The 24,555-nt window shown below is 51.1% G+C and overlaps 1 protein-coding gene across 8 annotated transcripts in view, besides 1 other annotated feature; it reads right to left on the bottom strand.

Annotated features, from left to right (window-relative positions):
* The window catches only part of GLI2 (GLI family zinc finger 2), a 256,786-nt gene that overhangs the window by 94,520 nt on the left and 137,711 nt on the right, over nucleotides 1-24,555 (bottom strand). The window lies entirely within an intron of this gene.
* Nucleotides 10,697-11,264: an enhancer, noted in NCBI's record as "H3K4me1 hESC enhancer chr2:121644446-121645013 (GRCh37/hg19 assembly coordinates)". NCBI's record gives its function as "activates a minimal SCP1, AML or CMV promoter by ChIP-STARR-seq in naive H9 embryonic stem cells {active_cell/tissue: H9 hESC(naive)}" and the evidence as "EXISTENCE:reporter gene assay evidence [ECO:0000049][PMID:30033119]".

The raw sequence follows: 24,555 nt of genomic DNA, 5'->3' as shown, positions 1-24,555 counted from the left end.
TTTCGAGGGAGTAGGGGGTGGATGGAAACCACTCCACAAAACAGCAACAAGAAAAGACCACAGGTGAAGGGGACCTGTGGTCCCCCTTCACTGAAAATCACAGTGTATCAACTCCTCTGAACGGTGGAAAGCAGAAAGGTGCAGTTCCCAAGGGTCAGCATCAAGATAAGACTTGCTGAACCTGACATTGATGCCTAATGAGTAATAAAATGTCCCTTCATGGGGTAGAGTTACTGGATGATATCATGAGACTTTAGCACCTTAAAGAGGTCTCATAAAATGTTAGCACCCTAAAGAGGTGACCATGTTATATAAATACAGGATAAAAGATACCAGCTCAGCATGAGTATCAGTCAAACCCACTCATTGTACAGAAAGGGAAACTGAGTCTCTAAGAGATCTTCAGGCCTGAGATCAGACATGTTAACGGCAAGGCCTAAATGGGTATTTTTTTCCAGAATAGAGTGGTAAAGATGTGAGTATCTAAGAAAATTACACAAAGTGTCCTTTGTTATGACACAGGTAAGGGATTTCAGGTTGGTGATGTCATCCAGAGGAGACTAGAAACCCAACAGAATCAATCCCCTGGCCTCCAAAAACCCTGTGCCTACAATCTTTGCCCTCCTTACAAAGTAACACATTTACTCCTCAACTTACCATGCCCCAGTAAACCCACAGTAAAGTCGAGCCATTGTAAGTGGAGAACTGTCTCTACTGTGATCACCTTTATTGCTTCAAAATTTATTTTTAGCCTTTAGTAGGAAAGCGGTAGTGTTCAGGCTCTTGAGCAAAACTGAGAGACGATTCTCTGAATCTCTGACAACTCTGGGCAGAGCCAGGGAGCAGGGGCCCATGCTGTTTCAGAGGTTTAGGACTCAAAGGATGGAATCCTCGTTCCCCTAACAGGAAGTCAACACGGGGAGTTTGCTACTTCTGAGGCTGACCCGGACAAGACCAGGAGCTGTGGCCACATTTGTGATGGAGAGGGCGTGGCGGCTGGAGCGTGTCAGTGGGGGTGGTGCTGGGGAGAGGCATGTGCCCGCAGGCAGCCCCATGGGGAACAGTGCAGGAATCTCTTCCCCCAGCCCCTCTCCCTCACACAGGCCACCTGGGACAGAGGTGGACACGTTCCTCCCCTGCCCCTAGGCAAGCACTGGCCTCAACTTCAACTTGTTAATTTCTATTTCATGATCCCCTTTTTTTCTTTCCCCTGATCTCCGCCACTTTTTGTTCAGCCCTGTTACACACTATGCATTTTTGGAGGCTGCCTGTAGAACTACATAGGGTAAAAATGAATAAACGAGCTTCTCAAGAGTTAACTCTTGGTGACTCTTGAGGGATTAACGCCCAAGCTGGGGATTCCTTGAGAAAAAGGGCCAAGGCCTCCGAAGAAGGCTGTGTGTGTGTGTGTGTGTGTGTGTGTGTGTGTGTGTGTGTATGGGTGTGTGTGAGTGTGTGGGGGGGTGGGTGTATGTGTGTGTGTGTGTGTGTGTGTATGTGTGTTTTTCAAAGGAAGCCATGGTAGAGACCTGTTGACACTTCCACCTTCAAAACAAAATGCCAGTTGTTGGTGGTGCTAAAATTTTTACTGCTGTTACCACCACACCAGCACTAGGGCCTTCAGAGTTTCACCCTTCAGAACAGAAACCACCTCCTTATTACTGTCAATACCCCCCCACCCCAGCTTGGTGGGCCTGGCTAATACTCATATCTCTGAGACATGCCGGATCCCACCCTGCCTCAGGCAGGGAAGACAGGGCCCCTCTGGGCTCCCTCTGGACCCCAAACAGCCTTCTGGGGTCATGGCCCTCGCCTACCCACACCCCTGGTGTGTCTGAGTCTCCCACTAGGCCTGGGGTGGGGCTAGGGGGCTGCCTTCAGGCTGACCTCAGGGTGGGGCGGAGAGAGGGTGGGGGAAAGAAGGGAGGGAGAAATCTGAGCCACACTTAATGCTATGAGATCCACAGACCATCAAGGCAGGTGAGAACCAACCTGCCCAAGATCACTCAGGGACAGAGAGGGACAGGAAAACTATGACAGTTCTAACTGTTGGCTTGATGAATCACAACCCTAGAACCTTCACACAGCTCCAGGACACCCTGGCCCTTGTCTGCCTTCTCCAATCTCAGTTTCCTCACCCATAAAATGGGAGGGGAGAGTCACATCTGTCTCACCAGGAGGTGATGAGCAAGAAATAGCTCTAATGACTTCAGAGCCCTTTGCAAATATCAAGGTGTTGGTTAGAAAACCATAGCAACCACAGTGGGCTCAAACCTTTCCTTTTAAAAAGAGGCAAGGAAGGGATTACAAGACGAGGGGAGACCAGTGACCAGACGAAGTGTCTCTGGGTTCCGGGCCCATCCTCCCAGGGAAACTTACTGAGAAGCATGTTTTTGTTTTGTTTTTGTTATTGTTTCTGTTCTTGTTTTTTGTGACGGAGTCTCGCTCTGTCACCCAGGCTGGAGTGCAGTGGTGCAATCTCAGTTCATTGTAGCCTTCACCTCCCAGGTTCAAGCAATTCTCCTGCCTCAGCCTCCCGAGCAGCTGGGATTACAGGCCCATGTCACCATGCCCAGCTACTTTTTGTATTTTTAGTAGACATGGCGTTTCACCATGTTGGCCAGGTTGGTCTCGAACTCCTGACCTCAGGTGATTTGCCTGCCTTGGCCTCCCAAAGTGCTGGGATTACAGGTGTGAGCCACTGCATCCAGCCCTGAGAAGTATGTATTTTTTATTCATAACAATTCACCCCAATTCTAAGGAGAGACTACTTCACTTCCCCTTCCTCCCCTTCTAACAAAGGACTGTTCCTTCCATCAGTTCCCCAGTGCCACATCCAAGCAAAACTTTTCTGCTCCATACTTACAGCCAAGTTCACACGTTTAGTTTTGTTGTTGTTTTTTCATTGTTGTTGTTTTCTTTTCCCTCCCAGTTTCCAAGGAGAGAATTGCTGGCTGCAAACGCTGGAAAGGCTGACACAGAGGGAAGCCAGGCCAGCCTGCAGGGATGGCTGAGGTCCATGCAGTGTCCACAGCCTGGTGGCCCAAGCCTCCACCGGGGAGCCCCTCCCCTCCCCTCCCCATCAGCCAGGTCCTCAAGGAGGCACCCATTGAGGCACTAGAAAGAAAACCATACTGGGCCGGGTACAGTGGCTCACGCCTGTAATCCCAGAACTTTGGGAAGCTGAGGCGGGCAGATCACGAGGTCAGGAGTTCAAGACAAGCCTGGTCAACATGGTGAAACCCTGCCTTTACTAAAAATACAAAAATTAGCCAGGCTTGGTGGCAGGCGCCTGTAGTCCCAGCTACTCCGGAGGCTGAGGCAGGAGAATCGCTTGAAACCAGAAGGCAGAGGTTGCAGTGAGCCAAGATCGCGCCACTGCGCTCCAGCCTGGGCAACAAGGGCAAAACTCTGTCTCAAAAAAAAAAAAAAGAAAGAAAAGAAAACCATATGGGAGGAAAGAGGTAAAATGGAAGTGGGGGGATTTATGGGGGGGCGGTTTGAAATCACTGGTACCCCCCCCCAAGGGTTAATGCATGTCTTCATTTGTGGTCCTCAAGGACACAAGACACAGATTAGCCCCCACCCCTGGCAGTAAGAACTGATCCCACACTGGCGCTCTAGAAAGAGAGTGAGAAGGGAACAGAATGCTCAGGAGGGAACAGAGCAGGCACTCTGAGCACTGGAGACTCCCAGGCTGCGTATACTCAAGGCTAAAGTCCCCCAGAGGCGTAGCTGAAACCCAGCCTGAGTCAGCGGAGCCACGCCGGTCCCAGGCAGCTATCAGCTACGCGGGCCCCAGGCAGCTATCCTTTCTAAGGGGTGTCCTTTCTAAGGGACATCTGTCACAAAAACACATTTAAAAAATATACTAATGAGTTTTGCTTTCAAAAAGTGCACAGATCTGAGAGACGGACAATTGCTTGGGAAGAACCAGGAAAGCAAGCTGAGCTCCAGGGTGAGATTGGGGCCTTTCCGGAAAGTCAGAGTGAGCAGCAGAGAGAAAGGAACTCAGCTGGAGCTGCCACAAAGCCCCAGGAGGACCCGACTGTCCCCACAATAGGCCTCTCGGGCCTCAGCCTTCGGCATTGATTAACATGCAGCGGGCTGGGAAGAAAGCGAGTTTATTCTGCAGGGGACGTTTGGGAGGGGCAGGGGTCAGGTGGCTCCCCCTTAAATCACGCTGCTGTCAGCCCCACACAATTCCCTCCCCTAGGGCTGGGTCATTACTCGGGTTTATGCAAAATAAACAGCTTTGCTAAATATTCCCCCAGACCAGGTCCACAAAGGCCTGGACTAAGGAGGCAGAATGCACTTGAAGACCCAGAAAACCATCCGCTTCCTCGCCCAACTGCTTTGCCAGGGAGTTCAGAGGCCCCCTGTCCACATTAGTTTGCTAAAAGTTTATCTTTTTTTTCTGTTTTGTGGGGGGTTGGGGGGAACTTGGTTTTGCTTTTCTTTTTCCTTTTTTTTTTTCTTTCTTCTTTTTTCCTTTCATTTCTTTTTTGGTAATTCCTCCCGAGACACTGCCACCAACCCTGTTCACTCATTCTTGGCCGGCTCTGACTCACTCCCTTCACTTTCTTTCTTGAGCTATGTAAGACTTACAATTCCTGGTTTTCTATAGGGGAACTGAGCCATGAGAAATCTCTTATAAACGCTCCCAGAAAAGGAGTCCGTTCTCAGAAGATCCTTCAAGACAGGCTGCTCAGCAGCAGGGCCAGCGGGGGCTGGGGGCACCCAGCAAGAATCTTAATTGTGCCAGAGCCACACACATACCCCAGGTGGGGGAGGGGAGGCTGGGGGGCGGGCAGGGGCCACCAGGGTTTGAAAAGAACTCTCCCTTCAGGGGCTGGGCTTGGTTATTCACCTTGAGCCCACCCTTCTCCCTCCACGTCATCCAACAACAAGGACAAAAACTAAAATAGGAAACAAGAAATAGAAGCCCCAGCTATTCCTGGCCATTCAGCCTTCCTCCCAAACTACAGAGGACAGGCTGAGCTGCTGAGATATTTGAGAAGGCTGTGGCAAGATGCCTTAGTCAAATAACTCATAACTATGCACGCTGGGGGCAGGAGCTCTGCCAGGCAGGGGTCATGGCCCACATTTCACACTGGCGGTCACTCCTCGGGTTAGCGGTGGTCTATCCTTCCTGACTTCAAATCCACAGCATCTATCAGAAAAGTGGCAACAACCCCATTGGGTTTGGGTCTCTTAGGGGCAGAACCTGAGACAAGGATGTGAGTGCAAGTGGTTTATTTTGGAGATGACAGGGCAGCTGAGGACATCAGGAAGAGACACCGAAGGTGGTGAATCAGGGACAATGGCACACCCCCTACCACTCTGGGCAAGGGCAGCTGAGCTCCACACAGAACTTCTGAGAACCAGAGTAGACCCAGCTGAGGGGTGAGGGAGCTGGGGTATTTACACACCAGTTCTGCCATAGACATTTGTTAAGTAGGGTTACTGATTATCAGTGTTAATTTCCTGGCACCCTGAACTGCCACCAGCGCAGCAGCAAGAAAAAGCCCCTCAGGCACAAACACGCAGGTGCAGGATCCAGTAAAGTGGTCAGGAGGTGGCGGCAGGAGAGGCAGAGCATGATGGCTCCTGCCACAAACACTAACCATCCAAGCTGGTACCGGGCCAGCACCAGAACTCTCCCCTCTGCAGCCCCTGGCTAGCTGGGACAGGATTTATGCACAGAGCAGGATTTATGCACCCACTTTTCCAAGGGGCAGACAGAGGCCTGTGCCCTGCCCAAGGTCCCACAAGGGCTTCCAACTCCACATCAACCACCGAATGACCACGTAGTTCCTCAGCCCAAACCTCAGTCCTCCCAGAGCAGGCGGCTCAGGCCCACCACCTGCAGAAACCTCTCGTGAAACAAACGTTTCTCCTGTGGCCCAGAAGAACCTTCAACAGGTCAAAAAGGTGGGGACATCTCTGTCACGTGAGCAAAGAGACCAAATCTTCCCTTCCCTGGCTGACGGGGGAGAGAGGTGGATGGGGGCCCGACAATGGGACAGTGCTTTTAATGAGCACCTGATCAGATGTCAAGCTTTGTCCAAAGTGCTGGGGTTAAGTAGTCCAAGGTGGTGACCACAATCCGCAGAGCCAAGCAGGAGGTCACAAGGTGCAGGGTGGGGTGGGATGGGAAGGGGGCTTCACCCACTGTGCTCAGTGAAGACTGGCATTGGTCACACCTGGAGTGCAGTGGAAAGAGGGGTCGCTGGTCCAGGAAGGTGCATCCAGCTTCTCACAATCTCCCAGGTATCTGGACTGAGTAAATGAGGACAGCCTGGTGTGCAAAGCCCCTCTCTGCTGCTTTTTCAGTGGGGTCAGGGTGCATGGAAAGGGCAAGTAAGGAAGAGAAGGGAACAGCGCCTTCCCCTGTAAAGAAAGCATGTGTGGTGCCCTCCACTCTACTGGAGCCAGGAGCATAGCCGGCTCCCCAGAGGAGAGGTGCCCATAAGCATCCAGGGGAAAGCCAGGCCCTGCCCTTTGCTGCTCCCCCTTCCCTTCACAGCCTGTACTCCAGCTCTGATTTCTCCCAGCATAGCCCAGGCTTCAATCACATTCTGTACGCCCGTTCATCTATTTGTGTGATTTAATTTATCAAACACTTACCCAGCATTCACCATGGGCCAGGTCCTGAAAAATGTGAACTGGTTTGATCCACATTACGATGCCTATAAGGTAGGGTCCCTTTTTGCCTTCATTTCATGGAAAAGGAAACTGAAGAAGAGAAGTTAAACAGAGACCAAATTCAAACCCAGGCAGCCAACTCTTAACCACTAGGCAACACTGCCTCTCAAGAAATTCCTTCTCTGCCTACACCCACTTGTTCAACAGGCAACACAAGCACCATCACCTCCAGCAAGGCTCCCCGATTTCTTCTTTATCCACCAGACACCCCGCCCAGTGCACCCACTCCTGGGTGAGGGGTGCCTGCTACTCTCCCATAGCACCTTCCTGTGTGGCATTCAAGCCACTGCCTGCTCCCCACCAGCCATCAGCTCCCTGATGCTGAAAGGTCCATCTTTTCATTTCTGTGGGCTCCACGTCTGGTGCCCAGTGGGTCCTCAAGAAATCCCTGCTGACAAATGGACTGATGAATGAATGAATGAACAAATGAACACAGTCCTGGGAAGGCATTAGGAGAAGCCATCCCCAAGATGCAAACTCCAAGAGGTGAAAATGACTGAAGGAGAACTGGAGGACACACATCCTCTCTCCTCCCCACTACCTGGGTACCAGCTTCACGAAGCCAAGCTTTGGGGGGACCCGTGCCCCCACCTCGCTATAACCCACCAGCCTCCAGGTAAGCATAGATGTCCCGAAGGAGGCCCAGCCCCTTGGGAAACAGCACGGCTTGCTTACTTGAGGACAAGCTAGTGAAGACACGTGACGTAATTCGCATTGCATATATTAATTACCTTGTTTATTTTTCGCTAATTTGAGATTCAAATGCAGCTGTAAGAAGTAACAGGAAGACATCCTGTGTATGATTTACCTAGATTTCCCCAATCATGTCTTGCAAAGCTACAGTGCAATATCAGAATCAAGATACTGATAGTGATACAATGCATCTGCCTTGTTCTAATTTCCTCAGTTTTACTTGCACGCAGGTATGTATGTATGTGAATGTGTATGCATTTAGTTTTATGTGTATATATATATATATATATGTGAATGTGTGTGCATTTAGTTTTATGCAATTTCATTAAAGGTACAGATTCAATATCTACCACCTCAGTCAGGATACTAAACAGTTCTGTCACGATGAGCACCCTTCTGCTGCCCTCCTCTCCCTCACCCCTACTGTCATTAAACCCTGGAAACCATTGATCTGTTCTCCATTTCTAAAATTTCATCACATCAAACATGTTACATAAATGGAAACACATAGTTGGTAACCTTTTGGGATTGGCTTTTGCACTCAGCATAATTCCCCGAAGATTCAGCCAAATTGGTACAGGCATCTATGGTTTGTCCCTTTTCACTGCTGAGTAGTATTCCCTGGTATGAATGTGCCACAGTTTGTCTAACCACTCGACCACGAAAAGACATCTGGGCTGTTTCCAGTTTGGGGACATCACAAATAAAACTGTTATAAATATTTGTGTACAGGTTTTTGTGTGAATATAAATTTTCACTTCTCTGGAATAAATGCCCAAGGGTGTAACTGTTGGGTCCTATGCAGTATGTTTACCTTTATAATAAGCTTCCAGACTGTTTTCTAGAGAGGCTGTACCGTCTTACATTCCCACCAGCTATGTGTGAGTGCTCCTGTTTCTCTGCATTCTCATTATGAATATTTTTTCTTTTAACCATTCTGATGTGTGTATAATACCTCGCTCAGTTGTAATTAGCATTTTCCTAATGGCTAGTGAAGTTGAACACCTTTTCATGTGCTTATTGGCCATTTATATAATCCTCTTTTGTGAAAGGTCTCTTTCTGTTTTTTGCCCATTTTCTAATTATATTGTTTCTTTTTTACTGTTGAGTTTTGAGTACATATTCTATGTACTAGTCCCTTGTCAGGTATGAGGTTTGCAAATATTTTCTCCCATTCTGCAGCCTGTCTCTTCACCCTCTCAACAGGGTCTTTCGAAGAGCAAAATTTTTGATTTTGGCGAGGTCCAATGTGTCAATCATTCCTTTTATGAATCATGCTTATGGTATCAAGTCTAAGAGTCCTGTGCCTGGCCTGAAATCCTGAAGGCTGTGATTTCTCATCCTTCCTCGATGGAGGAGCTGACTGTCTGAACTGGAAAGCATTCTTTCTCCACCTTTACTACCCAAGGTGTGTCTCTTGCAACCATCTTCTGAGGGCTGGCTCAAGGTGGGGTATGAGTTGACAGGAAAGACGTGATACAAAGAAAGAGCCATTTGAGTTTCCTCGAGCATCTCAGCAGGCTAACATCACCCACAGACTTCCAGCCCTTTCAAGACTTTTCTGAGACACAGGGGCAGAAAAGGGCTAAAAGAGGAGACTATGGCCACCGCACTTCTTTCGGAGGACCAGATAAAGATGCGTTCTGTTTCTCCGCGGTCCTGCAGCGCCCAACCCATCACCCTTGCTGGAGGGGCCCTTTCTGGACAGAGTCCTCACGGCCGTCTAGCCTGGGCCTCCTTCACTCTACCCTCCCCACCCCCAGGGAAAAGGAAAGACTTGGTCCCCTCTTGGGGACAACTCAACTGTCTCCATTTTAGCCATCAACATGGAGAACTAGAAACACGAAGTCACCACTAACTGATAAGCCTTTGAAGTGTTGGGTTCTCCTGGAAAAAAGACTTGCTACTGAGATGTCAGCCAACGCTGACCATGAGTCCTGACCCAGAACTGGAACATGCAAGCAGCGACCCTGAATAGAAGGCCCAACAGAGGAAACCTGGCATTGTCGATGCTAGTCAGCTTTCCTCACACGTTTCTGAACGAAGAAAGAAAAGAAAATCCCTGATTGCTCTGAAGACTGGTTGCAATAAAAAAAAACTCAACAATCTCCCCACCCACCACACCCTAGTAGGCCCTGTCCACACCAAACACTGTTTGTTAGGGAACATGGCCCTCACGGCCTGTGTGTCTCTCACTGGTGCCCACTCTCCCCTGAATCACACTGCACAGGGTCTCTCCTGTCTGAAGAGAAGAAAACACCCTGAAAATTAAGAAGATAAAAGTGATGGCGGTGCTGTTCAAAAGGAGAGAATGTGGAACCCTTGGGCTTTGTTCCTAATGCTCGGGGACGATGAGATTGAGAGAACTCATGGAGTCAACAGGTGTCACAGATGTCCCAGGAAAATACCAAAAATAAAACAAAAACACCTCTCGCCTTGCCAAACGAGAAAGCAACATCACTCAACTGCAGGGCATTTTGGCAACTAAGAGTGTTTACCCCCAGAGAAACAGCTGCCCTTGCCCCAGCGGGCAAAACAGGCCTCCCTTCTACCCCTCCCCGACTCCCTTCTCCCTCTGGAGGTTTCTTTTCGGCATCCAGCCAGACAGAAAGAAGGCAGGTGACAGAGCAGGGGCTTAACAGGTCCCACGCAAGGCTCAGCTGGGGAAGGCCACTCCAAATCACTTTGGCAAACTTGAACTGAACCGCAGGCCACCGCAGCCGGGAAAACAAACAAGAGCCTGTCGGCCAGGTCCTGCTAGCTGTGCCCAAGCTGCAGCTCCCCTCTCCCTGGCTTGGAGTGGAGCAATAAAAGGGGTTTGTGAATGCATGTCCCAAGCTTCTTAGCGCCTGTCATATTGATCTAGCACTGCGTTAGGATCCCCGGGCCCTCTCAAGGACCTGGGCAAACGCTGGTATTAGCGCTCCCCTTCCTCTTAAGAGTGTGCTGAGCAGTCACTCCACTGTTTCCCAAGGAGGAGACCCCCGACCCTGACAATCCATCAAGTGAATGCAAATTGTGGCCCAGACAAAACCAGGCAAACAGCACCCCGCTCCGGGATAATGGCCTCTGTGGGAGAAGGGCGCTTCCAACAATGATTGCTGTGTACATATCCCACTAAATACCCAAACTTCTGATTAGCCCCATCATGATTTGTGTGTGCACCGCCTCTTTTGAATGGCTCCCAAGTACATGGTACAAGTTGACTCAAGCCTAACCTCAAACAGTGGCCTTCCCGGGCTTCGCCAGCGCGGGGAGTGGGCTATACATAGCTCTCTCTGCTGTTGATTACAAGCCTTTTGGAAATCCAACACGCAGCCCAGCAAGGAAAAGAGCACGGTGAGAGGGTGATAATCACAGGCTCCAGGCTCCGGCTGGAATTGATCTAATTTGGTGAGTATCAATTCAGGTTCACTGTGGGGGAATATTCCCAGGTCGCCTGAGCTGCATATTTGCAGGAAGAGATCAAAAGCACCAGAATGGGATGTTCCCTCCCACAAGCAGGCTGGGGGATCTTGTGGGCGGGGGGTGCTCTGTGGCTTGTGACATCTACCACTTGCCATGTGGGAGTTTTCAGGCAGGGCATCTGGCCATCTGCTTTCAAGGACCACAGGCATTGATCGGGGGCCAGCGTCTGAGGTGTGCTTGGGAAGCCAGGCATCTTCCCACAGTGTCACTGGCACCTACGGAGGAAAAACGTGAGTGTGTTGGATGAGTATTTTCACCATGTGTTTCTGCATCTGCGTCTCGGGCCCAGATCTCTCTTCTGAGCCCTGGATCTCTCCGTCCAGCCCTTGCGTGAGCCCCAGGCATCTTGGATGTGCCTCGCCTGACACAGACAGACCGTGGCATCTTCTCCCAGCACCTTGTGCTTGCTCCTGGGCAGGGTCTCCTGCCTCAGCAAGGGCACCGCCATCCACCCAGCCAGCAACGTCTGGGGTTCCTTGGGGCCCTGGGTCCACCCACCAGGTGCGGCTTGGGGCCAGCATGCAGGCTACCGCAGTCCCACTCCAGGCCCCTTTATTTCCTGTCTGTCTCAGCAGCTCACTAAGCAGGCTCCCAGCCTTTCCACCTCTGCCTCACCCACTCACGCCCCTCAGGAAGGCTAGTATGAGCTCTCTGGAGCGCAGGTCTGACCCTGCCACTCCCTTTCATAAACACTTTGGGGCTGTGCCCAGTGGTTCATGCCTGTAATCCCAGCACTTAGGGAGGCCAAGGTGGGAGTATCACTTGAGTCCAGGAGTTCGAGATCAGCCTGGGCAAAATAATGAGACCTCTTCTCTACAAAAAATTTAAAAACTTAGCTAAGTGTGGTGGTGCGCGCCTGTGGTCCCAACTACTCCAGTGGCTGAGGTGGGAGAATCGCTTAAGCCCAGCAGGACAAGGCTGCAGTGAGCCATGATCAATGACACTGCACTCCAGCCTGGGCAAACAGCAAGACCCTGACTCAAAAAACAAAACAAAACAAAACAAAACAAAACAAAACAAAACAAAACAAAAACCCAAAACCAAAATATACACGCACACACACACACACACACACACACACACACACACACACACACACACACACTTTGGAAAAATTAGAATAGGGGTTCCAAGACCCTGTCTCAAAAAAAAACCCCAAAACCAAAACACACAGACACACACACACACACAAATTTACTTTGGAAAAATGAGAATAGGGGTTCTCACCTCCTGAGGCCAGCATGAGGATGGCACGCTAATGCATGTAAAATTATCTGGTATATAACAGGTGCTCAGTAAATGGAGTTACTTCCCTTTTTCATTTTCTTAGAGCCAAAGAATGACAGAAGTATGGTTTTAGCTCACGGCCCTGTGTGATAATAATGATCACTTGAATGTGAATGATAGTGTCCCACACGTGAGGCCCCGCTCCCACACATGACCAGGTAGAGGGGAGTTTGGTGCTAGCAGATTCTCCCTCCTCCTGTGTCTGTCATCCTCCAACTCCAAGTACAGAGGCCTCAGCTTCCAGGGAGCAGAGGCAATTTTATTTTTAATCCTCCCCGTGGCCTCAAGCCTGAGTCCCTCTGCCCACCTGCTAGACGCCTCCTGCTGCCAGCAGCTGCCTCAAGGGCCCTGTGTGTCCGAGTGGGCACTGGACGCTGCCTGTTGCTATAGCTGCCCCGCCCCAGGCCCCGAGGCCTCTGAGGCAGTCGGTGAGATGAACATGGGATCAGTCAGTGAAGGGCCATGAAAACACACGCTGCCCCAGAAGGGACGGGTGGAAAGGCCTTGTCAGCATTTCCGAGGCTGGGGTGGCCAGGCTCAGGGGAGCCACCCTCGGAAGGCAGCCTCCCCAGAGGCCAGCTGTGAGACTGCAGCTGCTGCCTTTGAGGTTGAGGGGCCATTTACAAAGCCCAGTGAGCTTGGCAATGTAGCTGCAGCTTCACTCTCTGGAGCAGGCATCTGACAACATGGCCCTGTGACAATGACAGTGTCTATTTACTGGGTCTCTTCCATGGGCCAGGCCCAGCAACAGAGAAAGGCATACAGAGAAAGGTTCACCCTCTAGGACCCGGTCTGCATGATGTGCAGAAGGGAGATCTCTTCCCTGGGGGTGATGAGATCGGGGAAAGCCTCCTGGAGGTTGTGATATTTGAGCTGTATTTGAAAGGCAATAAGCTCTAGAGGGGCAGTGAGGTTGGGGTGGGAGGATTCAGCAGACACTGAACACTTCCAAGATGGAAGGCAAGAAATGAATGGAGAGGGAGCCAGGAGCAGCCCAGCTGTTAGGATAGTGGGGAAAGCAGGAGTGAGGCCGGCTGATGATGCTCCCGCCATGGCAGCAATGGTAGGAGGTGGGGGCTGTGGGAGAAGATTACAGGAAGAACCCCACCTTCCGGCCCAGGGGGTGAGCAGATGTTGGGCCCCCACGCGCCACTCTCCCAGCAAGGAGGCGAGGCAAGGCTGAGCAGAAGCCTGTGGCTGGCAGGACAAACACTTGCTGGCTCCGTGCTGCCCACTCTAGCTGGACTCCGACGGCCACCCTAATGTCACTCAGCTTAGGGGCGGGTGAACTGCGGGGACCCAGCCTGATTAAATCCACTGTCTCAACCCAGGCCCAAGCTGTATATCTCCAGCGTGGGGGAAGTGACACCTCACAGCCTGCACACAGCTTCATTTCTGAAAAGAATGTGTGAGGGGGAAGGTCAGGAGACAGGCACAGCCGTAAATTTGATGGAAGGTTTAGCTGGAAACCCCATTAAATCCACACACGGCTCAATGCTGGGCAATGTCCTTCCTCCGAGTCTGCTGAATGGGGCCAGGGAGGTGAGGGACTCACTAAGTAATGTCCTCATTTTTTGGTGTCTCCTATTACCCAGGGGATGAAAAACCCATTACCCATAAGGTTTAGTGGCACTTGGTCCCAAGACTGCAATACTGTCCTTTACCTACGCTCTCCCCTTGGCCCGCACATGGGCGCGCAGCCTCTGCTGGCCTCTGTCCACTCCACCATCCGTGCGGACGACCTCACTCTCCCTGCAGCCCACGCCTGGGTCTCACAGACCCTGGATCCTGCTCCCCAAGGATGGGCGCTCTCTCCCCTTCATGGTGTGGCCTGGCAAAGTGTGACCTAGGCCAGGAAAGCTGGTGTTCTGTGGTTGTGAGCCCAGCACTGAGCTGCCCCTGGCCCCTAAAGTCTCCCCCAGGGCTGGGGCTGCCCTAACTTCAGGTGGTGGCTATGCAAAAGTATGAGCAGGAACACAGGGGTGGCCTGCGGAAGGGTGCAAATCCCCACTCTCCAAAATCAGGCCTCCACACACTCATCTGCTGCGGGGGTCTGGAGCACAGACAATTTTCCTTGGAAGGGAGTCCCCCGTAGAGATAGGGGCTAGAGGCCTGGATCTAGCGGCTTTCTTCTACCTCTCCGACTCTCCCACTCCCTACCCCCACCACCAGGGGCCAGAGGCTACCTATCATTGCAAGTATCCCTCATCCAAGACTCAGCCAAACAACCACACAGAATAGTGAGGATGACAGAAGTGGGTTCAGATCTGAGCTATGTGACCACAGTGAATGATTACACTTCTCTGAGCCTCGGTTTCCTCATCTGTTAAACAGGATTACAATAATAACTACCCTCATGAGACTGCTGTAGGGACTTAACGGGTCAGCGTAGCAAATGCTCTACAAATACCTGCACACACCAGAGCTTCCTGTACAGTGCGGCTGTCTTCTTCAAGGTTATCGTGGGTTTGTTTGTTTATTTGTTTGTTTTGAGACAAGGTTTCGCTCTGTCACCTGGGCTGGGGTGCAGTGGTGCGACCTTAGTTAACTGTAGCCTCAACCTCTTGGCCTCAAGTGATCCTCCCACCTCAGCCTTCCAAGTAGCTGGGACTGTAGGCACGTGCCACCATGCTCGGCTAATTTTTCTTTTTTAAAATAGAGATGGGGTTTTGCCATGTTGCCCAGGCTTGTCTCAAACTCCTGGGCTCAAGCGATCTGCTCACCTTTACCTCCCAACTTGCTGGGATTACAGGTGTGAGCCACCAGCCCGGCCAAGGTTATCTTTTAGGCTTGATAAAAGCATAGACCTTTTCATGAGAGCAGATGCAAACAAAAGGCTAAACCCACGGAAGGAACCTATTACTTCTCTCTCAAAAGCCCCAGCTAAACATACTTTATGATGCCATTTATATGATATTCAGGAAAAGGCAAAATTATAGGGATGGGAAACATAATAGAGTGTGCCAGGGGCTGTTGGGGGTAGGAGGGTGGGAGAGCAGCTACGGAAGGACAGGATGCCCGCTCTGGGGAGAGGGAACTGTTCTGTATCTTGGTTGTGATGGTTACACAACCGTATACATTTGTTAAAATTAACAGAACTGTATGCCTCAAAAGGGTGTATTTTACTATATGTAATTTACACCTTCATAAACCTGATTTTAAGATAGACAAAATGAGAAGAAAAAAAAAAGACCCACTTAAGACCAGATGTGAGACCAAACCAGCTATCTCAGCCCTGGAGGGCAAGGAAGATGAAGTGGTTCTGGAGTAATGCCAGCAGGACCCAGAGGGGACGTCCTGGATGGCGGTCAGATCCACATGTCCAGTGAGGGACAGAAGACCCAGGGATCCGACAGAGGAGGGTGGGCCCAGACACCCGCGCTCAAAGACAGCCCAGCAGGCCTGCTGCCAGTGCTTGTCGGCTTCGCGTTGCAGCCAAAGCCACCGCCCTCTCCCAAGCTTGACCTTCCCTCCATCTGCGTTCCACAAATTCACAGAGCTTTGGAGGGACTCCAGGGACACACACCTACATTTCACAGGCGAGCGAACTGAGGCCATGAAGTGAGGAGTGCTGATCACATCCCGCAGCCGGCAGCAGCTGACGCCTGCAGCGGGCGCCCTCCAGCCCAAGCAGCATCTCCCGGGTGATCCTTCACCACCTTCACTCCTTCCCTGTGGTGAGCTGCCCTGGAGACCCAACCCAAGGCCTCACGCCCTGGCTGCCTTCCCTCACGTTGTCCATGTCACCTGGCCTCCTGGAAGGAGGATGTGGCTCCTGGAACTCCCTCCTTCCAGAAGCCAGAGCCCCTAAAGGTCAAGTTCACTGTAGGCAGCCACATGGGTCCAGAGACCAGACGTAAACTCACAGCCAAGTTCAACTCCTGAAGTGGTGTGAATTGTTTGATCTGCAAGTTATAGCCACTGCACCCTGGACCTGGATAGTGTATTCTGGAATCAACCTACAGGGCCTTAGTTGTCCCCTATGACATTCCATCCCAAAAGACCTGGACCATTCGTTGCCAGCTATCTTTGGTTGCTGGGCTGACATTCAGAGCCCCAACTCCCTTTGCTATTCCAAAAGTTCATGATGCCGCCAGCTCCACCTGCCCTCCTTCCCACATGCCCCTCTCCCACCTGTCTTGCCCTCTACTGTCCCCACGACTGTTCTCCCCCACTGTCTTCTCCCACTGTTCTCCCCACTGTTCTCCCGGCGACCGTGCCACTCCGCACTGTTCTCCCCCGCACTGTCCTCCCCCACCTGCCCTCTCCCCACTGTCCTCCCGACTATCCTCCCCCCACCTGCCGTCCCCACACTGTCCTCCCCCAAACTGCCCTCCTTGCACTGTCCTCCCCCACCTGTCCTCCCCCCCGCCACCCCAGCTATCCTCCCACTACCTGCCCTCCCCTACCTGTCCTCCCCACCACTGTCTTTCCCCCACTGTCCTCCTCCCACCTGCCCTCCCTTGACCTGCCCTCTCCCCACTGTCTTCCCCACGACTGTCCTCCCCCAACCTGTCCACCTTCCACAGTCCTCCCACTCCTGCCCTCCCCTACCTGTCCTCCCCTCACCTGTCCTCCCCCCACCTGCCCTCTCCCCACTGTCCTCCCTGCCACTGTCCTTCTCCACCCATCCTCCTCCCCACCTGTCCTCTGACATTCAAGCAGGACCCTGGGGAAGGGGGCCAGGCCTTTCACAAGGAGATACTGCCCAGCCTCAGTGCTTCTAGGCATGGTGTAGGGAACTTCAGGGATGTGTTGACTATGACAGGGTATTTGGAGTAGGATTCAGAAGCCCTGAACTTGAGTTGCCTTTCTTGAAAGCGTCACATTGAAGATCTTGGAACCTCTGTGTGCCTGAAAGGGTGTCAGGTGCTTTAGATAAATTTGCTTAGTTAATTCCACCGACCATCTTATAAGGTTAGTGACTTGCCCCCATTTTACAGATTCAGAAATGGAGGTGCACAAGGTTATGTTATCATGGTAACAGGGGGTGCTGCCTTCGAAGGATGGCAAATAAGAAAGACAAATTTCACATTTTGCTCCCTGGTGGGGGCAGGGGGGGATATTTGCATTTCCATCCATGTAGCTAGGTAGATGCTATGCTGGGACTTGTGTTCAATGGCTGAAAACAATTATTCAACACCCCAGATTAAGCTCATTTTCACCTCACATACCAACATTTTAATTTTCAAAAGCAGTTCAAATCACAATTCTGCTAGAGAAAGACATACTTTAGCCAGGAGGTACACATTTATAATCTCTCTCATACGCAGATACCTCAATTGTCCTAACCTAGCCCATAGCTGCTTTTTTCTGGTTTTCTTGCTGTCTGGGGTGTTTCAGGACCTGGACAGAAAAACCACAGGCTCAGCCTCTTGGTGGGGCAAAGCAGAGCTATGTTTGTTTGTGAATGACCACAGATGTGACCTGGTTTCCCCTCCTGCGGGCAGAGCCGGGGCTGGAACAGGTGGTGGAGTTGGAAAGAGAGCCCTTGTCTGCGAGGCGGGGAAGGAGGAAGGAGGATGGCGGGGTGATGGGGACTTCAGGCAATGGGATTAAACCTCAGAGGCTGGACTTCGGTGGGGAAGATGGATGAATTTAATCAGCCCTCTTGCCTTAAACCTGAATGAAAAGTAATGAAGTTTGCCCAATTCTCTAATTAAAATTCCCAACTAGCAAAACTCCAATGGCTGTGCAGTGGAAATTCATGTAAAACAGAGAGAAAACAAAGCATCTGGACGACGGGCTCTAAGCTGGCGACCACTCAGCACTACCTGTTTGCAGAGACAAACCTTTCGCTTTTCCATCCCTCACACTCCAGGGTCCTTTAAGACAACTTTCTTTCCCCAGTAACAGCCCCCTACAGGATGAAGGTTGGGAAGTCAGACACAGCCCAGTTTAACACTGTGCACAGAGAGGGAATAAAGCAGCTTGAAGCGGCACCTCTGGCCACACCGATTTATTCCTACCCTCGTCTCTAGCATGATGTGCAGAAATATGAAAATATACACACTTCCCTATATGAGCATTTTAACCAGCACTTAAAATCCTAAATGCTGAAATATGGCTGGCCGTGGAGGCTCAGCTAGAGGCTGGAGAAAATGACTGGCTGGCTTCTCTGGCTCAAGAGCCCGCCTCCCGCGGCAGACGGGCTCTCATAGGTTACAAGCTCCTCATTAGAACAGGCGCGTGCAGAGTTTAACACACTCAATTGGAATCTACTGCTTTTCGTCCACAAACTCCTAAGTAGTAATTATGGGTTACTGCAGGGTGACAGCCCAGCCGTTAAGTGACTCCAGCCTGAGATTCATCCAGGCATCCAGCCCGTGGTGGGGCCGCAGCCAGAGGCAGGCAGGTGGCCACGTGTCACCTGAGAGTGCTGTCCAGCCCGCCGTGGCCTGGCTGGGGTGCCATCCGACCACTGTGGACACCATCCTCCTCCTAACTGCTCATGCTGCCTCCCCACGCACGGGTGAGGAACTACTGCACTGATCTCAGGTTATCTCCTGCCTGGCTAGGAGGTCTCTCTATGTTCACTCTGGGGCTCCCTCCAATCCACCAGAATGAGGATTCTAACACAAAAACCTGATCAAAACCCAAGCTCTGAAGCTGGGCACACAGCCCCTCCAGACCTGGCTGCAACTGACTCTCCAGCCCTTCCCAACACTCAGCTGCAGCCACTAAGTGCCTCCACTAGTACCAAGCCCTTTTTCATCTCACCCATTGTCCTGGGAACAAGTCTGGGCTGCACAGTGTCTGGCGAAAGGCCTCATGCTGGGCCCCAGGAAAGCACATAAGCCATAGAAAGTGAAGTCCCTGCCCCTCCTGGGGAAGGAAACTGATCCGCAACCGAGATCCATGAGCTAATGCCAGGCCCAGGCAGCCAGCAGCCAGCGCCATTCCAAACCCCACGGGGCAATGCCGGAGGAGACACACACTATCCTCTCCATGCTCGCAGACTGAGCTTCTGAGGATGCTGAGATAACAGAATTGGGCAAGAAGGGGTGAGCTGGAGGACTGCAGCCAGAAGAAAGATTTTTTTTTTTTTTTAAGATGGAGTCTCGCTCTGTCACCCAGGCTGGAGTGCAGTGGTGTGATCTCGGTTCACTGCAACCTCTGCCTCCTGGGTTCAAGCGATTCTCCTGACTTCCTGAGTAGCTGGGATTACAGGCACGCACCACCACGCCCGGCTAATTTTTTGTATTTTTAGTAGAGACGGGGTTTCACTGTGTTAGCCAGGATGGTCTCGATCTCCTGACCTGTGATCCGCCTGCCTTGGCCTCCCAAAGTGCTGAGATTACAGGCGTGAGCCACCGTGCCTGGCCGAAAGATTTTTAAAACCAGAAAAATGAGACCAAGTGTGTTTTTTCTTTTTGTGACAGGATATGAGTTTAAAAAAATAACTTTTATACTGTGTATGTAATTCTGTATCCTTTTTTTCCTTTTAATATTGTACTATGTCATTAAGATTCTTCATAAATATTTCAGTGGATTCATACTGTCTCAGTCCATAGCTAGACACTAATTTATTTAAACTTTCCCCTTTATTCAGCCAAGTCTTTAAACACCATAAAGTGACTTTACTGCAACCATGATTCTGCTTAGGCAGCTCTTCCTGGACCTAATTTTTTGTATAAAGAGATGGGCTTCCTCAGTTAGAGCCATTATTGGCAAGAAGAAATAACTAATACATTTGACGGTGGTATCGTAAGGAGAAAAGATTGTCTTGACTTCCTTGCTCTGCCCCTGGGAGGGAGGATACACATAATGAATATCTGTGGCTGAAGGAAGAACAAATAGGTAAGTGAGGGAGTCAGTGAATCACAGAATATTCCCCCAGGTCTATTTTTCTGAAGTTCACAATTCTTCAGTTTCTCATCAGGGACCCAGGCTCAGTCAACACTTTAATGTATCCATATTGATCTCAACAGTTTTTCCTAGATGTTAATATAAAAGAATGTTCGAGAAAATAAATCTTTTAATAGCAAATTCCAGTATCAAAACTAAGGCAATTGGTACAACCACTTTGGACAGCTGGCAGTATTTATCAGAGCTGACCACATGTGCCCCCTATAACCCAGCAGTTCCATTCCTAGGTATATACCTGGGAAAAATGCACATAGACATTCATCGAGACCGTACAAGGATGTTCATAAGCAGCACAGAATAGCCCCAAATTGGAAACAACCCAAATGCCCATCAACATCAGAAAACGTTGGTATATTGTGCTATATCCACAATAACAGGAAAAAATATTATTCAACAATAAGAAGAGCAAACCACGACTACAGGTAATAACACGAATGAATCCCCTAAACATAAGAAAGCAACCAGATAGAAAAGTGCACACACTGCATAATTCCATTGACATAAAGAACAAAAGCAAGCAAAACCAAGCTATGCTCTCAGAAGTCAGAAGTATGGTTGTCCCAAAATGGGGGAGTGGTGGCTAGTGACTGGGAGTGGGCACAGGGGGGCTTCGGCTCATGGTCATGGTCTGTCTCTTGATCTGGGTGCTGGTTACGTGGATGTGTTCAAACGACAAAAATTCACCACGCCCTCCACTTAAGATGCATGCACTTTACGGTTATGTATGTTGTATTTGCATATTTTTTTTGAAGGATGCGTGGCCATTTTGAAGCCACATCAAAATAGTTTAAAACTTTCTCAAATATCTACACACAAGGCCCTGGAGAAACAAATAAGTGACCCAGGGTCTGTGCATTGGGTCCACAGTCTGATCTCAGGGAGTTCAGACTGATGTGGTGTGATAGGCAAGCTGGGAAGAGCTCCAGGGACAGTGCTCAGGGGCAGGCTCTGACCTGCTGGAGGAGGAGGGGAGGCCAGGCAAGCCACCCCAAGGTCATGCTGAGGAGCTGGGCCAAGCCCCATGCAAATGCATCACCGGCTGACCCAAGGCCGAGGCCCCGCTCCTCCCAGGCCTTCTCAGGCCTCTTGTCTTCCAACTTACTGCTGCCTACTGAGTGAGCAGTGGACCAGCCCAGGTTCCATGGGGCCTGAAGCTTACACAGTTGGGGGCACGTCTTAAGTAAAAGAATATTAAACAAGGAACCTACAGTTAAGCACAGGGACACGGAAAGGGCCGTGCAAACAGGGCCCAAATCCTAAACATCATTCTGCAAGTGCATCTGCCTTTTCAGAATGAGCCTCCACCTGCCTCGGACCCCACGTGCCTGACCCTGACATGGGCGGCCTCAGCAGAGCCAGCAGAACCTTGCTCCTCCCTGCCGACCCACTGGGAGCTGGCACACAAAGCCCCAGTGGAGCCAGGCCTTCCTCAGAGGGCATGTGACTCACCTGTGTCCCTCCTCCAACCCTGCCAGCTGCAAACCCCTGCAAGAAAAGTCCCCCTCCTCCACCTTCTGCCATCCCCTACTTGTCTGATTTCTCCGGTGAGTATTTTAAACTGTATTAAGTGATTTTTAAATCTTCCTCCTGGTGAGATTTGATCTCATTTATCTTCGCTGCTGGGAGAATATCAGTGAGCTTCCGGGGGAAGTGTGGCTGCTGGAGCAGCTGAGCGGAGAGACCCACTGCCACCATTTTGGATGTTTAAGAAATTCAGCTCCTGATTCCACTTTGCATTTATTTATTTGTTTGTTTGTTTATTTTTTTGAGACGGAGTCTCGCTCTGTCGCCCAGGCTGGAGTGCAGTGGCGCTATCTCGGCTCACTGCAAGCTCCGTGGCCTGGGTTCACGCCACTCTCCCGCCTCAGCCTCCCGAGTAGCTGGGACTACAGGCACCCGCCACCACGCCCGGCTAAGTTTTTTGTATTTTTAGTAGAGACGGGGTTTCACCGCGTTAGCCAGGATGGTCTCCATCTCCTGACCTCGTGATCTGCCCGCCTAGGCCTCCCAAAGTGCTGGGATTACAGGTGTGAGCCACCGCACCCGGCCTGCATTTATTTTTGTAAGGAGCATTTGGCATGGCTTTAACTTTTCCCCTCCATAACCAATTGTCTCAGCACTGCCTACTGAACAGTCCATTCTTTCCCTAAGATTTGAACTGCCATCCTTGTTAAAAGAGAACGAAATCCCCAGTTGTACTTGTCTCTATTTCTGGCCCCTCCGTTCTGTCCCAACACTGTGTTTTAATCACTACAGCTTTATAGTATGGTTTAGCATCTGGTAGGCCAGCCCCCCCACCTCATCCCCCATCACTGTCATCTTTTAGTCCTGGCTCTTTGGCGTTTTGTTGCCTTCCATGTGAATTTTATAGTCAGCTTAGAGAATTCCACTAGAATCCTCCTGGGGTTTAGATCGTGCCTGACCGCCCAGAATTTATAGGTAATAACACACGCAAGGGTGTCCTGAGGCGAAGAAGAGGAATACTGTCTGCAGAAGCCTGGCTGCAACTAGTGCTCCATAAACAGCAGCAGCTGTTAGCACCGCCGTTAGCACTCGGCACAGGGCGGGGTCTGCAGGACAGGCTGTGTCTACTGTAACTCTCCTTGCAAATCCTTCCAAGACCGTCCTCTTCTCTGCCTAGCCTCAAGGGCCATTTCCCCACGGAGAAAGGACTTTGCTCCTTCCCCATATACCCTCCTCCAAGTGAGCAGCACTGTGGTCCCTCTCGTTCCCAGAGCTTGAATCCCTAGGCTATGATGGCCAGCCCAAAGTCACTTTATGGGCCTTCCCTCTAGATGTGGTCCACTTTTCCAGGCTCCTTTGTCCACACTGTGCCTGTTAGCACCCAGAGCCAACAACAGACACTGAGTCAGCCTAACTCTGCTCAGACACTGAGTGCTGACATGCATGGCACATGCCTGTCCCCAGGTCCCAGCTTAGGAAAAACACCTGCACATACAAAGTAGCCCCATGCCAGGCACAGGCACCACCAGCAGGCTCCCTGATGCCATTTACCCAGCACAGAACACAGGCCACTGGCGAGTCTCAGACACCCACAAAGGCAGAGGTCACCTCACCGTTTTATGGGTTAGGAAACAGGCTCCAGGAGCCGAGTGTTTCAGGCCGAAAGTGTCTGGGAAGCTAGGACCCTAACCTAGTTTGCTTGACACCCCCAAGTCGTATACCTCCTAGAAATGACTGGCACCAGGGCCAAACATCAAGTCACCTGCAGGGCAGACACTCAACTGAGCTGAGGTTCCCAGGCACCGAGTACCCTCCACCCCCAGCTGCAGCTTCTCCTAGCATTTCCTACTCTTTTCTTCTTGGCTGGGACAGCAGCTGCCACAGCGAGTGGCTGTTGACAAACTAGTCAGCATGCTGCCGAGGCGTCTTTCTGAGCTGCCTGCGTCCTCCTGAGCAGAGAGATACCTCATTAGCGTGCTATATTTCAGCCCCGAGAAAACAATGCATGCCGAGAGACCATAAACAAAAAGCACAAATGCTACAGGTCACGGATGATAGATGCCACCCGTAGACATTCAACGCCGGCCTGTCTACACAGACAGGAGCAAGGCCCGCTTCCAGGCACATCCGTCTTTCCCCAAATGCTGACGCAGGGAGAAGCCAGCATGGCTAGGGCTCTGCGCACAGACGGGGGCTGCGGCTGATGGGTGAGCTGCAGTGTTTTGTGACAACTTTCAGTGTTTCTCCAAACCCTCACCATCCTACTTTGACTACTGGTGCTTTTGATTATTAGTATAACTTTTTTCCCTCTTGCTACAGGCCCAGAAATTTTTCTCTTTGGAAAATAAAGTTTCATAACACCCAGCCGATTTTTGAAAAGGGCCGGCCAGCCAGTTGAGAAGACAGACCAAAGCCAAGGCAAACAGGGGCTCTCACACAGACCCACGGAGCCCGCACAGACCGGGCTCTGTTGGCTGGGAGGGGTGGTTCTGAAAAGGAGGCACCAGGCGGTTGAACACCGTCACTCTGGCCAGCTGTGTGCAGCCGGGAGCCTCTGGGGTGAGGAGGAGGCAGGAGTTGGATTGTTCCCCTGTGACCAAAGTCCTAGAAGATGAGCAAACCCCATGGAACCAGACCCCCAGGACTTGGGGGCAGCAGATTATCCCTGGAGCAGGTTCCCGACATGGGGATCTGGCCACAACATGGGTGTTCTAGGCAAGAGGGTGCAGTCTCCTGGCTGTCTCCCCACAAAGATGATTGTGAGAAGGTATGGAAATGTTCTCTGTCGTTACGAACTCTGCAAACAAGAGAGATTTTATGTCGGTCCATTTCACAATGATAGAGAGGAGAGCTCAGATGCTCTGTGGACACAGGTTCGGTCAGATGAGGAGGCTCGGGGAGCCTGTGGTTGCTGGAGGGATGTTCCCAGCCCAGCCTCAGGTGGGAAGGTCAAAAACATTCTGTAGGCATTCAAAAGCGGACCAAAATGTAGACTGCAGAGCCCTGGGGATCCCCAAGACTGCCTCAAGGGGTCTGCAAAGTCAAAACTATCTCTATACTAATACA

This window comes from Homo sapiens, chromosome 2 (assembly GCF_000001405.40).
Source record: "Homo sapiens chromosome 2, GRCh38.p14 Primary Assembly".
NCBI lineage: Eukaryota > Metazoa > Chordata > Mammalia > Primates > Hominidae > Homo > Homo sapiens.
Note: the sequence above shows the minus strand (reverse complement) of the source record. Positions and strands in the feature narration are given on the sequence as shown.